We start from the raw sequence: 16,086 nt of genomic DNA, 5'->3' as shown, positions 1-16,086 counted from the left end.
CATGAGGAAGTTAAATCACTTTCAATTTTGTATCTATGGATTATGTTAAAATTTAATGTTCTGAAACCTGCCTGTGCCCCAATTGGGATGAGGTATCATGATTCTTCTTCTGCCTCACCAGTCTGTGTAGATTGCATTGTACAATACACATCAACAGGAAATACTCATCAGATAACATTTGTGAGTTGTTCTACATGGATTGTACATGTGACTGAACACGTACATCATTACCTTGTTTAGAAGAACCTATTGTCCTTTTCAAGAACTGTAGCACAGAGGGCCAGTCATCATTTTCCCCTTGATTTTCTTTTAATCCATTGATATTCCTCTCTTAAATGGGTACATGATAATATTGCTCTGTACTGTCAGATTCTTTTTAAGTTAGCATGTGTGTTTTTGATCTATCTTATTAATTTTTAAATTTCAAAGGGAAAAATAATTTCCCTTATTTTTGAGGAGCATCTCATCATAAAATTCACACATACATATTCACATATACATAAACACATTACATTCACCATATTATAAAAAAAGTTACTTCAAAAAGCTTCATTCTAAGTTACATTTTATAAATTGTTTGGTTGAGAATATCTCTGGCAGTTCCATCAGTTCATTCATTCAGTTGCAAGTCTAAGTATATGCCAGGTGTACAATACTGGATATTAGAGATCAATAGACGAGCAGTTGGTCGCTGCAGTCAAATATCATAATCAAGTTGGAAACAGACAAGTGGGTAGTTTAGACTAGTGTAGGGAAGAGTAACCCCCATCGGTTCTTAGTTAGAATGGATCCCTGTAAGAAAAAAATAGATTAACAAGAGAAAAGCAGAAGTTTATTAACATGAATATTTTATATATACATGGGAGACAGGAAATAAAGTAGTTCTCCTAGAAGTGGCTTATATAGCATCTTCAACTAAGAATAGAATAGTAAATTTTTAAAGAAATGGCAAGACAAAGGAAAAGACTCTGAGTCTCTAGGGGAAGCAACTTGTGAAAAGGCAATAATGGCATAAAAAGGCTAGTTAGTGAAGCTTGTTAACGCAGATTCCTCTGGTACCATCTCCAGGTCAATAAGGGTCTAAAATTGTCTTCAGTGGTTAATCTTTGTTCTCCCTGGTAGAAGGGGAGGTGGGATACCTTTTGTTTTTGTAAATCTATATCCTGCTTTTAGGTAAATGGAAGGCAAAGAGCTTTCCTGCCTCTGCTGCTTCTTGTTTGTCTTCAGCTCAACCCTCCTTCATATTTTGGGGAGGTATATCCTGGTCTCCCACACTACTCATCCATCCATTCATTGTATTCATTCACCCATCTGATATGTATTTAGCACCTTCTCTAGGTCAGTCACTGTTAGTTACTGGAATATAGCTGTGATTAAGATTAGTGCTCCCAGCTTGCACTCCTCAAACTTGGTCCAAATAAAGTCTCTACTTGTTTTAATTTTGCCTCAGTTTTGTTTTTTGTTGTTGCTTTTTATTTTTCCTTTAAGTAGCATGGAGCTTATAGTCTAGCAGGAAGATGGGATGTGATTGTGGCTGTACCTGAGGAAAGCTTCACAAAGGAGTGAGCCACACAGATGAGACATGGGAATAGAAGGCTGACTGTAGAACCCCCGGTGAGGGTTTTCCAGGCATTGGGACTCACAATGGAGACAAAAAGTGATTGGGAAAAGCTTCCAGAAAACCAAATATTTAAATATCCAACAAAGGGGTTGAGGGTATTGTGGGGAAAGGAGAAGTTTCTTTGAAGGCCTGGGAGTATTTTGCTTTGTTCAGGCATCAGGTCAACCCCGAGGGATAATGCCCTGGCCTCCACTGAGAGTCATGAACAGTGGTTAATGAGCTCATTAGCAATTCAAATAGAGGAATACAAGGTGTTAACACACTCACATCCACAGCTCTAGAAGCTTACAGTGTGACAGTGCATTCAATTTAGAATCTTCAAAGCAGTCCTCCTTCTTCCTTTCTCTTTCCCTTCCTTTTTGTATCTTCTATTTCTCTCTGTATATATCCTCCATAATTCTAGTTAGCTTTAGAGAAGGATAAAAATAAAAAATAATCCTCCATTTTTTATTCTCACTCCTCAGTTCTTCCTCTTTTGCCTTTTTCATTTACCCTTTCTTATTTTTACTTCTATGTTTTTTCCATTTATTCTCTTTTCTATGTTTTATCTCTTTATGCACCCATTTTCCCTGTCCACACAACTATGTTTAACATACTGATGGGTTTACATTGGTTTCCATTTGCTCTATGTAATATACATGTACTATGTACATTGTCCTTTATTATATGTAATATTTTCATCTTCATAGCTCTCTCTCAAAAAAATAAAAAATATAAAGCTTTTCTTCCATAGGGTTCTTACATTCTCAGGCTCCTCTTTCTTGGTATTTATGGATTTTGAGGTTTTTTATTCTTAAATACAACCAGAATAAAAGATTAGTAACCTATATAAACATGTTTTATGATCATCCAAAAATATAATTATATCCTGCCAAATTTTCCCTACTTAAAGTGAAAACCAATAAAATATACAAATATAGAGAATACAATTGAAGGTCTCTTTTTTTTTTTTTTGGTCTTTTTCACAGTGATAACTGGTTTTCATATTAATGAACCCCAAAACAAGGATAAAAATATCTCCTCTGAATAACTTCAGTTTAAATTTTTTGTCATGAAATCTAATTTTTAATTAAATTCTTCTAATTAAGGAAATATTACATGATCAGAGTCAGGCCTCTGAGCCCAAGCTAAGCCATCATATCCCCTGTGACCTGCACGTACACATCCAGATCGCCAGTTTCTGCCTTAACTGATGACATTCCACCACAAAAGAAGTGAGAATGGCCTGTTCCTGCCTTAACTGATGACATTGTCTTGTGAAATTCCTTCTCCTGGCTCATCCTGGCTCAAAAGCTCCCCCACTGAGTACCTTGTGACCCCCCGACTCCTGCCCGCCAGAGAACAACCCCCCTTTTTCCTTTACCTACCCAAATCCTATAAAACAGCCCCACCCCTATCTCCCTTCACTGACTCTCTTTTCGGACTCAGCCCACCTGCACCCAGGTGAAATAAACAGCTTTATTGCTCACACAAAGCCTGTTTGGTGGTCTCTTCACACGGACGTGCATGAAAATCAGCATAATTTCTAAAATGTAATGAAAACAGTCAAAATGCTCATAAAACAATTCAACCTTTATGATATTGCTTATTTCAAATATATAACAATAACATATTGCTGACTCATATTAATCTTTTAATTCAATTAGGACCCCATACCTTATATGTTGTTGTTTTCATTTTTGAACAGAGATATGAATTTTCATATTTATGGCTTTCCCATGCTTTAGAATTACTTTTATCACCTCATTTTATTTTAGAATTTTAGTTATTTTCCATAAAATTAGTAGCACCTATTTAAGTTTTGCCTGTATATTTATTATTTCCAAATTAGTGAAATAAAATAATGCAAATAAATTACACAAAAAATATCCTTTTTCTTTAGAATCTATTATGTAGAAAGCACGGTGTTAAGTATAGAAGAGGAAAGCAATATCCTGTGCATGGCTGACACCCCTATAACAAAAAAGCAGATTGACAAGAGAAAAGCATAACAACTTTGTTTTAACAAAGTTGTGTGGGTTTTTTGTTTTGTTTGCTTGCTTGTTTGTTTTAGTAGAGACAGGGCTTAACTATATTGGCCAGACTGGTCTTGAACTCCTGTCTTCAAGTAATACGCCTGCCTCAGACTCCCAAAGTGCTAGGATTACAGGCATGAGCCACTGCACCCAGCCTATTTAAAAAAGTTTTACATGACATGGAAGACTTCAGAAATGGAGACCCAAAGACCCAGGAAAAACTGTACTTTTATGCTAAGTTTGATGAAAGAAGTGAATAGTTGTGGGGAAATGTGACTGGACAAAAGGGGATGATTTAATGATAATAAATTGAAGGAAACCCAGCAAGGCCTGTCTGTTCAGATTTTCCTTGGTGTCTATGTGTAACATTCCTTCCTCTGTGGTCTTCTGATGGACTTTCAGGAAAAGTAGGTCAGAATGTGACCTTTCTAAGTTTTATGGCTTGCTCTGGGAGAGGGGAGTTCTGGTTTATATGACCTGCCTTGGAAGAGAGGAATTCTGGTTTCTATGACATGCCTTGTGGGAGAAAGGGGAATGACAGACAGGAGGGCCAGAGGCAATCAGAGAGACCTTGCTTCTGAGGCCCTCCCAGTCTCCAATAGATTCAAACATAAAATCTCTTTTAAAATCTCCTCAAAGGAAGTGGTAGATTGTGCATGTCACAATAATACCACAAATGAGTAACCCAGAATGCTAGAGACCAATGTGTCCCAAAAGCCAGTTGAGTAGTCTGGATTCTTGAAAAAGTTCTAAACTGTGACAAAACAAGAAAAAAAAAAAGCATTATAGAGAGGTTTGTTGTTGTTGTTTTTGTTGTTTTTCAGAAATAAAGCCCTGAATTTACAGAAGTGTTTTCATTCTACTGTTGTGGTAGTTTTCATGAAAACTTTTTATTTTAGAATAGATTTATATTTTATTTAGAATAGATTATATTTATGTACAAAAATAGTACAGAGAGTTTATGTTTAACTTTCATCCAATTTTCTCTGTTATCTTGCATTAGTGTGGTATGTTTGTCGTAACTAATAAACCTATGTTGATATATTATTATTAACTGAAGTCCATACATTTCTTTTGTTTTTACCTAATATTCTTTTTCTGTTGCAGAATTTCACCCAGGATACCACATTACATATAATTATTATGTCCCTTAGATTGTGACAATTTCTCAGATTTTCCTTATTTTTGGTGACTCACAATTTTGAGGAGTATTTGTCAAGTATTTTGTAGAATGACTATCAGTTTGAGTTTGTCTGATGTTTTTCTCATGGTTAGTCTGGGTTATGGGTTTGGGAGAAAAAGATCATAGAGATAAAGTGCCATTCTCATCATTTTATTAAAGGGATGTGTGATCAATGTGACTTATCACTATCGATATTAAGCTTCATCATGTAACTGAGTGATGCTTGTGGGGTTTCTTTACTGTAAGGTGATTTCCCCCACACTCTACCCCCTTTCATTTATGTAGTCCTTGGAAAAAAGTCACTATGTGCAGCCCACACTTAAGTAGTGGGGATTTATGCTTCTCCTCCTTGATATCTATATACATTATATAACAGCATCTATATACATTAAATAGAATTCTTCTATACGGGAGATTTTTCTATTCTACCTCATTTATTCATTCAATCAATCATTAGGTTGGTGCAAAAAGTAATCATAGTTTTTGCCGTTACTTTCAAACCTAATATTTTATACTTTGGCTATAATCCAATACTTTATTATTTTTTGGTTGCTAGTTCTGTAGCTAGTAGCTCCTTTTAAATGGAATGATAGTGATAGTTAATAATTATTTTGTGAGATTTTTTTTTAAAGTGTTTGTTTGTTTAATATCCTTAGAGGGCCAAGAAATGTGGCAACCCTGTGTTGTTACTTCAGTTGGAAGAGAGGGACCCAGTGGGCAATCAGTTCTCACTCAGTGAAATTAAAAACATTAGAAACTGCGGGTGTAGACAGCAAATGTTTACAGGATGAGGATGAGATGGTTTCTGGCTAAGAAGTTAGGGAGATGACATGGTAGAGAAAGTGGAATTTAAGCATGGTCTTGAATATTTTCTAAAGATAACACTTAATACATTTACAAAAGCTGATTTTTTGGATGATAACTATTCACTGCATACAAAACAGTTATTCACCGTCATCACCTTGCCAATGCCTAACATTTGAAATTGAATTTCAAACCTTCCTGTAATCAACGTGTCTCATAACAGTACATTGTAAATGACATTTATCACTTTCCACTTGTGGTGAGGACTATAATTCTATTTTAGAAGAATTCAAATTGGACTAGAACGCTTTCTACTTTAGAAAACTATAGTGGTTGCCAATTGCTTGATTATGTACTCTAATACTTATCCAGCATCAAGATCTAACTATATGTTAAACAAGTCAAGCATTACATTAAGTCGTTCTTAATGAGTTACAATGCCATCCTTATCAGTGGCAATTGTATCTAAAATTATAGAAGTCTTGGAGTTAATTTGACATAGTGAACACATGTGTTTAATTTCTGCTTATTCCTGAAACATCACTAAAATGACAGTATACATGGTAAAATATATAAATCCATGCAGAAAAAGAAATGGGCAAGGAATCAGAAGACTGGAGAGGCCAACACATTTTCAGAATCAGGAAAGGGGATGGAGGAATACATCTGACTGATGGGAGCAACAGAAATTGTAATGAAATGTGAAAGCCTGTGGTAAGAAATGCCAGTTAGCAATGTCACCGCCCTCCACCCTGTCACCTTTTCACAGGATCTTGGAAAGTCACGGAAACTGGAGGCACTGGGGCTTGCTGAAGGTGGGGTAAAACCTGGAGCTCAAAAAGGGAACATGGTTGATAGATCAGTTGGCACCAGCTCTCCATGTCCACCATATATATCCAACCAACTACCCTTTTTCTTACTCAATCTAGCCAAATGTTAGATGATTATTCTTTGGAGAAATTGGAGAAATATCAATGGAGAAACTAAGGCCACCTGTATACATAGCCATGGGCATACCCAGGGGCAGGGCTTGATGTCAGGCTGAAAATAGGAGAATTAAGGAAAAGTCTGTACTCAGCTCAGATCTCAGGATGCCTCTAGCCAGACTGAAACCCTTCATGAAAGAAACTGGAGGATTCTTCTATGGAGAAGGCAAATAGCTCCGGGTACTTGGCAATGGGAACCCTCCAATAAAAACCCAACTCACCATTCAATGTGCAGTGAAACCCATCAGTGGATGAGCCCCACCCACTCGCACAGATCATACAATCAAATTTTTTTTTTCTAATCCAATTTTAAATGTAAAAGCATAATAAGGATTACCAAATACTGGATGAAGTCTCAAACCCGAAAGACAAAACCTAAAAGGTAAATCCAAAGGAAACAAATAATTGGGAATAAATGAAGGGCTTCAAAGAAATTGTGTTACTCCGGCCCATTTATCAAGCGACCCGAAAGGCTGCTATTTTTGAATGGGGCCCAGAGGAGGAGAAGGCTCTGCAACAGGTCCAGGCTGCTGCTCTGCCACTTGGGCCATATGACCCAGCAGATCAAATGGTGCTTGAGGTGTCAGTGGCAGCCTATATATATATATATATATATATATATATATATATATATTTCCAGGATTCTCTCTCTCTATATATATATATTTATATATATATTTATATATTTATATATATAAATATATATATTTATATAAATATATATATTTATATATATTTATATTTATATATATTTATATATATATATTTATATTTATATATATTTATATATATATTTATATATATATATATAAAAGTTCCAGGGTACGTGTGTGTGTATATATATAGCCTATATATATATGTGTATGTGTGTATATATATATCTCTCTCCATATGTATATCTCTCCGTGTGTGTGTGTGTGTGTATATATATATATATATATATATATATATATATATATATATACATACATATGCATATATATATCCTATTAGTTCTGTTCCTCTAGTGAACAATGACTAATACAGAAACTTTAAAATCACAAGAATTGGCCAGGCATGGTGGCTCATGCCTGTAATCGTGAGGCCGAGTGAGGCGGATCACCTGAGGTCGAGAGTTTGAGACCAGCCTGACCAACATGGGGAAACCTTGTATCTATTAAAAATACAAAATTAGCTGGGCATGGTGGCACATGCCTGTAATCCCAGCTACTTGGGTGGCTAAGGCAGGAGAATTGCTTGAACCTGGGAGGCGGAGGTTGCGGTGAGCCAAGATCGCACCATGGCACTCCAGCCTGGGCAACAAGAGCGAAACTCTGTCTCAAAAATAAATAAATAAATAAATATAAAAGTAAATAGCCAAAACAAAAAATCAGAGTAGATAATGATTGCATCCAGGGATAGGAATCTGGGGGGTAGGTAAGGGAATTCTGTTACCTTTTTATACCTTGTAGGACAATTTGTCTAAAATATGTGAATATACTACTTTCAACAGAGTCAGGGAGGGAAAGTTCTGAACAATTATATGAATACTGGGAGGCATGGTTCCCTGAGGGCCGCCAATTTAACAGCATAGCCCCACATCTATGAACTTTTGCCTCTGTCTGATATGCCTTACCTACTTGACCAAGGATGAAAGTTAGACTTACTTGATGAGAGTGTTAAATTTGCATTTCAATATTTATTTGAATATTCTTTGGGATTGGCATGACTTAAAGGATATCACAAACCCTGATTTCCTCGATAATCAATTAAATAGCATTAAAACAGTCATAATCTCTGAGGAGCTTAGTAAAAGAAACATGAACGCCACTGAAAGTCTTTGCTGAACCACGAAATGACCACAAGCAGCAAAATAAAGACATTTATTTTCCCCATCGATGATTTGCTATTGCCTCTTATTTAGTTTTAGAATTCTTTTTTTAATTTGTTGTATTAGAAACCATTTGTTATAATGCTTTCATCTTTTAAATTTGCAATCTATATACACTTCCAAATGTTTTGAAAACAAGTAGACAAATAGTGGTAAGTCCTGCGTGCCAGGACTTTGCCATATCAGAAATTGAATGTTAGAAATATCTGGAAAGAGCCCATGTCTACAAAATGAAAATTTTAAGTTACTATGAAAAATATTCTATTCTTAGAAAAATTTCCAGGTCTTGCTTTTGATACCAGATGTTTGAGGCTAGAAACTAACTCATTAGACAAAGCACAAATTGTAATTTTAATATCAACAATTATCATTGCTTTCTCATACTCATTTTTCTTCCACTTTTTCTTTTTCTTCCTCCTATTTTTCTTTCTCTTTATTATTGCTGTTATTTCCATGATCAAACCTAACATTTCAAGATAATTTAATTTTCCATAAAATCTGTTGAATGTCAGTTGTCTCACTGAGTTGTCCTTGTCACCTGAAATTATAACCATCCATCCAACATGACTATTAAAAATGACTGAAAGTACTTTGCAGATATAAGATGTTCTATAAACACTTTTCCCCAGTAGCCTACAACCCATTGAAATGGTATTTGATCTGGCATAAATTGCTATTTCAAGCATCTTTGAGCCGTCATAAATTTGGATGCTGTCATTGCTTTCTGAGTTTCATATTCCCCAAATGTTCTTTATTGAAATCCAATATTCATTCCAAAGGGTATTACATTGAATTCAAGTTAACTGAGAACAGGAGCCAAAGAGGCCCCATTCCCTAGTCATTCTTTTCTTAATGATAAGAATGAGATCCAGGAGTTCACATTTGATTAGATTATTCTCTCTTTCTCAAATGTAATGCTATTCTACAGGAAACTTAAGAGGCTTCTTTATAATTTGCATGTTGGAGAATGAAGGTGATGATAATTCCAATACACACCAGGGAAACAAGTTTATTTAAACTAAATCAACATGACAGAGAGCATTTCACTTCGAGGAGATAACACTGATTGTAAAGCCAGCCTATAGATGAATATATGATAAAAACTTGAGCAATTTTATTTACTCAAGCTAAAATATGTGCAATCTTAAGTAACCTAATTTTGCTCCAGCCTCAGAATACTCACTTAAAAAGAAGAGATCAATATTGAATTGTTACAGCTAGACTTGCAATGTCAAGAACTAAGAACCATCACAGACATTGAATTTGTTAATGTATTTAGGGCACAGAACAATGGAAAAATGAACTCAAAGGTGGATGAAATCAAAACAAAGAAGCACAGAAATATATAATCTGGAACAAAGCACTTTATTGCATTTTACATGCTGCTAATGCTTCAGTTGGAGCAATTTTTAAGGATTACGGATATTCCTGGTAATCACTGAGCAAATTTTCTTGCCCAGCATTTCTCAAAGTAAATTTTGTGGAACCATAGCCCTACAAGATACTCTGTGAGGAAAAAAAAGGTTTTTATCATGTTCCTATCACAGAACTGCATGCTGTAGTCCCACCCCCTGTCACTGTCAATGCACAGCAGATATTAGCAGATCTGAGAACTTGCATTAAAGGCTGTTCTTTTACTTGATTCGTCCTGCTTCCCCATTTTATTTGGCCATGAAACTTACTTTCTCTCTTCTCTTCCCCACTTCCTTCATTCCATTTATTATCTTAAGAATTAATGTTCCCCACGCTACTTTAGGAACCCTGGTCTGTCTAGATGATTTTAAATATAAAATCAATAAGCAGTTTTTAATGTTTCAATCATATTTACAAGATCTACTTAGAGGTAGCAGAGTCCAGATTTTAGCAAATTGGACAAGAATTAATTACCAAAAGATAAACTGTAGAAACACGTTGAAGACTTGTTTGGCAATATCTCCTAAAGCTGAACATATGTCTACCCTGTGAGCTGGCTATTCCACTCTACCCTGTTGGAATATGTACATATCTGTTCACCAAAGGACGTGTACAAGAGTGGGTATAGCAACTCTGTCTTAATAGTTATGAAGTGAAAATAAGCCAAATATCCATTGACAAAAGAATTAAAAACAGTGAAATATCTAAGCAATAGAATACTCTGTAGCAATGAGAACAATGAAAACATTACTATCCACAAAAACAAAGAATCATATCAAAAACAAATTGCTGAGCAAAAACATTCAGGCAAAAAGATTACGTACTGGATAATACCGTTTATTAAAGTTTAAGATTTTAAATGATGAAAGTGATCAGTGGTGGCAGGAATCAACATAGTGGTTACCTTGGGTAGGCCATAATGACTAGATCAGGAGGAGACTTCTGAGATTTTAATAAAATTCTATGTTTTCATGTGGGTGTTTCCTTTGTGAAAATGTGTCAAATTGTATGCTTAATAATTGTGTAATTTTTTGCATGCACAAAAATAATCGTTTGAATAAGTAAAAAGTTTTAAATTTTATTTTTTTTAAATATTACTGTTGGAATGATTTAATGTTTTACTTTTTTTTCTTTCCTTTTTGCCAGAAAATTGTTTTCTTAAACGCAAGTGATATTGGGCAGGACTTAAATTAAAACAAATCTACCAAAAGAAAGTCTGAGTTTCCATATGCCTAGATATATAACGTGCATTTTGAAGCTAGAGATGGCTTGCCATTAGTGTGGGGTGTTTAGCGTGTCTGTGTGTCCTTGCACATGCATGTAGCAAATTCAAGTGAAATATGGGAACATGTGATCCATTCAAGTATTATTCATTCATTTATTCCTTAACCATGTACTATGCCCTCAGAATATGTTTTAACAGAACAGAAAAAGTTATTGATCTCATAAAGCTTGTATTTTATGGATGTAAGAAATGAAACACTATATAAATAAATGAATAAATGAACAAAAAACAAATGTCAGGTGGCGATAAGGGCTCTTAAGAAAATAAAGCAAAGGAATAGTGACGTGTGTGTGTGTGTGTGTGTGTTGGCATGCACATATGTGGCAGGGGTCACCTACTGTGGTCACGGTGCATGGTCAGGGAAGACCTCTCTGATAACAAGATATCTGAGCAGAATCCTGAAGAAAGTGAAGGAGTGACCAAGCAGGTGTCGGGGGCAAAATGAATTTAGGGCAAACAGCAAGTGAAAGGGCCTGAGGGAAGAGCATGTGCAGAACGGTCAAGGAATAGCAAGGAAGTCAGGCTGCCTGGAGCAGGAAATAAAAGAGAGACTCAGAACCCAGCAAGGACTTGGGCTCTGGAACACTTTGGAGAGTTTTGAGCATGCACGTAACTGATCTGACTTACATGTTTTTTTTTCAGCTTTATTAAGGCATAATTTACAAACACAGATTGTATGCATTTATATGTACAACATTTTAAAGCCTCACTCTTGCTTCTGTGTGGAGACTGGACTAGGGAGTGGGGACGATAGTGGAAGCAGAGAGACTGGCGAGGAAGCAGTCGTGTGGTAACTTGTTCAGAAGCTGGTTGTGGAACCACTGAGAAGTGGTCATAGGTTATGTTTTAAAAATACAATGACAGAATTACTAATAAAACCGGATAAGAGGTGTAAGCAAAAGAAAATACATGAAAGATGACTCCAAGATTTGGGGCTTGATCAACTCATGGAATAAAGTTACTATTTAGGGAGGAGAACACTGTAGGATGGGCAGGTTAGGAGGCGAAATGCAAAATCAAATGTTCTGGGTGGAGCATGCAAAGCTTGAGATGACTGTGAGACGTCCACATTCAGGTGTGGATCTGCAGCTGGATACATGAATCTGGAGTCCAGTGCAGAGCTTGGAGCTAGGGACATAAATTTGAAAGCTGTTAGATTCTAGATGGTATTTAAATCCATAAGACTGAATGACTTCATATAGGAAATGAGTATAGATAGAGAAGTGAAGTAGTCTAAAGACCAATCCTCAGATTTAAACATTTAGAACTTAAACATTTAGAGTTTGGAGAGAAGAGAAGAAGCCAGAAAAAGAAACCAAAAAGGATTAACAAGTGAAGTAAGAAGACAAGGAGTGTGTGCGTTTGTAGAAATTAACTGAAGAAAGTGTTTTAAGAAACTTACCAGCTGTTTCAAATGCTGTTCACAGCTCAGCTAAGACGAAGACTGAGAAAGGACCCCTGGATTTGCAATGTGGATGTCTTGGTAAATAGGACAAGAGAAATGTAATGGTGTGGACAAATGCCTGATTGGAGTGAGTTTTGAAAATGATCTAAAGAAAAGAATTAGAGAAAGCTGAGTGTGGACTTCCCATAGGGAGTTTTACCATAGAGGAAGCAGAGAATTGGGTATTTGTTGGGAGATGGGGGGTGAAAATAGGTTTTTGTTGTGTTTTGTTTTAATGATTGGAGATATTCTAGCGTATGTATATGTGATTGAAATGATCCAGTAAAGAGAGGAAAACTGGCGATGCAGGGGAAAGAGCAGCCACTGCAGGAGTGATGTTATTGAGTAGGGGAGAGAGAGAAGGAAGCTGGAGGTCAGGAACATCTACAAAATGTTTATTCTTGTACATATAGGTGCAAGCTAATTAAAGGATTGGTTTTCTCTGATTTCTTTTCCTCTACATCTATGTATCCTACTGGGTAGTTGATACAAAAGCTACCAATTAAGCCAGAAATATTTCTGTCTGTGTGAGAGAAAAAAAGTCACTCATTTGTCATGCATTGCGGTTGTGTGTGTGTGTGTGTGTGTGTGTGTAGTGTGTAGGCTCTCTTTTGTTATTGAGGATTTCAAGGTATTTGGAAGGTATGGCTGCATCTTTTTTTGTGTGTCAGATTCAGTTATTACTTGGAATAGAGCAATTCCATTTGAATTCTGATTTTTCAAGAGCCTGGTTTGTAGTTCCTCTCTTCTGAAATGGTAAATAAGAGGAGAAATAGAAGAAAAGTACAGCAATTAAAAACTTGAATGTCAAGGTTTCCTATCAACTATGAATTTACTTTTTCAAAAGAGTTAATTATTTAGTATATTAGAATAATGGGGACAATAACGGGGACAAAGTTTCTTTGTTTTTGTAAACTATGTGTTTTCTCAAATTTTATATCAGTTTCATTTTAATATTGTAAACTGCATGTTTGCTAGTAAGTCAAACTTTAAAACCTCATATTGTAAAAAGGAGACATGAGCTCAGAGTTGATTACTTTCCATATCTAAAATAGGAAATCTATGACAGAAGCAGAATAAAATCTCAGCCTGTGATTTAGGCATTAGGCTATAGTTTTTCAATTCTCAGGCTGATTACATGAATTTTTTTAGGCCTTGATGCTATAAATAATAGTTTTATATATTATTATCAATGAGGAAAGCTACTATTTTAAAATCAGCTATGGTACTGAAATTATAGAAGAAAAGATAAGGATTGAAAAGAGTAAGTTATCTGATGGAACCTCTCAATAAAGTGTTAGGACAATGAAAGTATTCATGGTATTATATATTGATAGATTTTACTACACATAGCTTGCTAATGTAAGCATCTCCTTTCTCCTGACCTCTGAGTATGTACCTGGAGGACAAATCCATTTGAACCTTGGTTTTCCTCTGTTTTTTTTTTTTTTTTTAAACTGTGTCTGTTGATAGCCCTGTCTTTCATCATCCTGGATAGATTGCTTTGTTAGCACTCTCTCACCAGTGAAATTCAGTCCTTTATTAGGGTCAGATCAATCTTGTTGGCATATTTTTCAAGCATTTTTCTTCTTCCTGTTCCAACCGCCATTCTCACCTCCATGCCTTTCTCACACTTTAAAAAATAGAATTCTCAGATTTTCAAGGCCCTCAGCATCCTTCCACCGTTCAGGATCTGTTCCAGCCTTCTCTTACTCCACTCTCTATTTCACATTGAATGTTCAGGAAAATTGGTCTTTCCCTCTTCCCATTTCCTGAGCACGCTCTCAGCTTTCCCAACTCCATGCCTTTGCTCACATGGTTCTGTGAGGCATAAGATAAAGGAACGACTTCCAAGAGATGTCATCAACGGGGCCATCTCACACCTCTGACTTTCTCAATTCCCCTGCTCCTTGAAAGCACCAACCCAAATGTCAGCTCATTTTCAGCCTGATGATTGCTTCCTGGAATAGTTATCTTTACACACTGTTCTCTGCAGCACCCAGCCCAAGCATTATCCTCATTTTACAGATGACTAAACCGAGGCAGGGAGGTTTAATGATCTACCCGCACCCCAGAACTAATGTGTGGCAGCCCGGGATGCCAAAATTATTGCCATTTTCAGGTACTCAGCTGCTTCCTAAATGCTATTTGACTGCATGAAGAAATAAATGTGTCATTTTCCATTTTTCTTAATTCAAAATTGGAAAGTACTAAATGATGCTTCTTTGTCAGTAAGAGTCTTGCAGGACTAGAATAAAGTATATTAGTCGTGCCATGAGCTGAAAAATGGAGAAAATTTGGGAAATTTCTGAAGTAAGGCCAATAGTAAGGCTGTGTTGTCTATGACAAGAAAACGAAAAGCAAATGTTTTATTTAATCTTACGTGTTTTAATGGTGTGATTTTTTTAAAAGTATTTGAAAATAACCTAGATGAACAGTTATTAAGTGCTCAGTATAGGCCAGACATTTTTGAACATCTTACATATATTAATTCTTATCTTTTTTTTTTTTTTAGCGTTTTAGAGATGGGGTCTCACTCTGTCACTGAGACCATGAGTGCAATAGTGTAATCATGGCTCACTGTAACATCGAAATCTTGGGCTCAAACGATCCTCCTACTTCAGCCTCCCAAGTAGCTAGGACTACAGGAGCATGCCACCATGCCCCACTAATTTTTAAAAAAATTTTTTTTGACACAGGGTCTCGCTATTTTGCCCAGGCTGGTCTTGGACTCCTGGCCTCAAGTGATCCTCCTGCCTCAGCTTCCTGAGTAGCTGGGATTACAGGTGCAAGCCACCGTGCCTGGTGCTAATTTTTAAAATTTAACCATTATATCAATTCTACAAGTTAAGTATTACCATAACCATTTTATTGTTGAAGAAAAGAAGGTCAAGGAGGCCGGGCGCGGTGCTCACACCTGTAATCCCAGCACTTTGGAAGGCTGAGGCAGACGGATCACAAGGTCAGGAGATCAAGACCATCCTGGCTAACACGATGAAACCCCGTCTCTACTAAAAACACAAAAAATTAGCTGGGCGTGGTGGCGGGTGCCTGTAGTCCCAGCAGCTCGGGAGGCTCAGGCAGGAGAATGGCCTGAACCCGGGAGGCGGAGCTTGCAGTGAGCAGAGATCCTGCCACTGCACTCCAGCCTGGGCCACAGAGCAAGACTCCGTCTCAAAAAAAAAAAAAAAAAAAAAAAAAAAAGAATGTCAAAGAGATGAGATGAAGTAACTTGCCCTGGACTGAACATTAATGTTATACTTGGAATTCAGAGCTAAATGATCGCCAAACCCATATGCTTTAACTGAATATTTAAGGTTGTATAGACAGAGGGTAACATATTTTGAGGTCATTTTCTAATCACAGTTATATAAGAGACGACAGTTAAGGCTTTTGGTGACAATAAAGACTATGGCTCCTAACTCCTTACGTTAAAAACCTTATTATAATCAAAAAGTAATAAAT

At 36.3% G+C, this 16,086-nt stretch overlaps 1 protein-coding gene across 14 annotated transcripts in view, besides 2 other annotated features; it reads left to right on the top strand.

Annotated features, from left to right (window-relative positions):
• MAGI2 (membrane associated guanylate kinase, WW and PDZ domain containing 2) overlaps positions 1 to 16,086 on the top strand; it is a 1,436,613-nt gene that overhangs the window by 873,059 nt on the left and 547,468 nt on the right. The window lies entirely within an intron of this gene.
• Positions 1,400 to 2,136: an enhancer, noted in NCBI's record as "OCT4-NANOG-H3K27ac hESC enhancer chr7:78207790-78208526 (GRCh37/hg19 assembly coordinates)". NCBI's record gives its function as "activates a minimal SCP1, AML or CMV promoter by ChIP-STARR-seq in naive and primed H9 embryonic stem cells {active_cell/tissue: H9 hESC(naive and primed)}" and the evidence as "EXISTENCE:reporter gene assay evidence [ECO:0000049][PMID:30033119]".
• Positions 2,466 to 2,965: an enhancer, noted in NCBI's record as "OCT4-NANOG-H3K27ac hESC enhancer chr7:78206961-78207460 (GRCh37/hg19 assembly coordinates)". NCBI's record gives its function as "activates a minimal SCP1, AML or CMV promoter by ChIP-STARR-seq in naive and primed H9 embryonic stem cells {active_cell/tissue: H9 hESC(naive and primed)}" and the evidence as "EXISTENCE:reporter gene assay evidence [ECO:0000049][PMID:30033119]".

This window comes from Homo sapiens, chromosome 7 (genome assembly GCF_000001405.40).
Source record: "Homo sapiens chromosome 7, GRCh38.p14 Primary Assembly".
Taxonomy (NCBI): Eukaryota; Metazoa; Chordata; class Mammalia; order Primates; family Hominidae; genus Homo; species Homo sapiens.
Note: the sequence above shows the minus strand (reverse complement) of the source record. Positions and strands in the feature narration are given on the sequence as shown.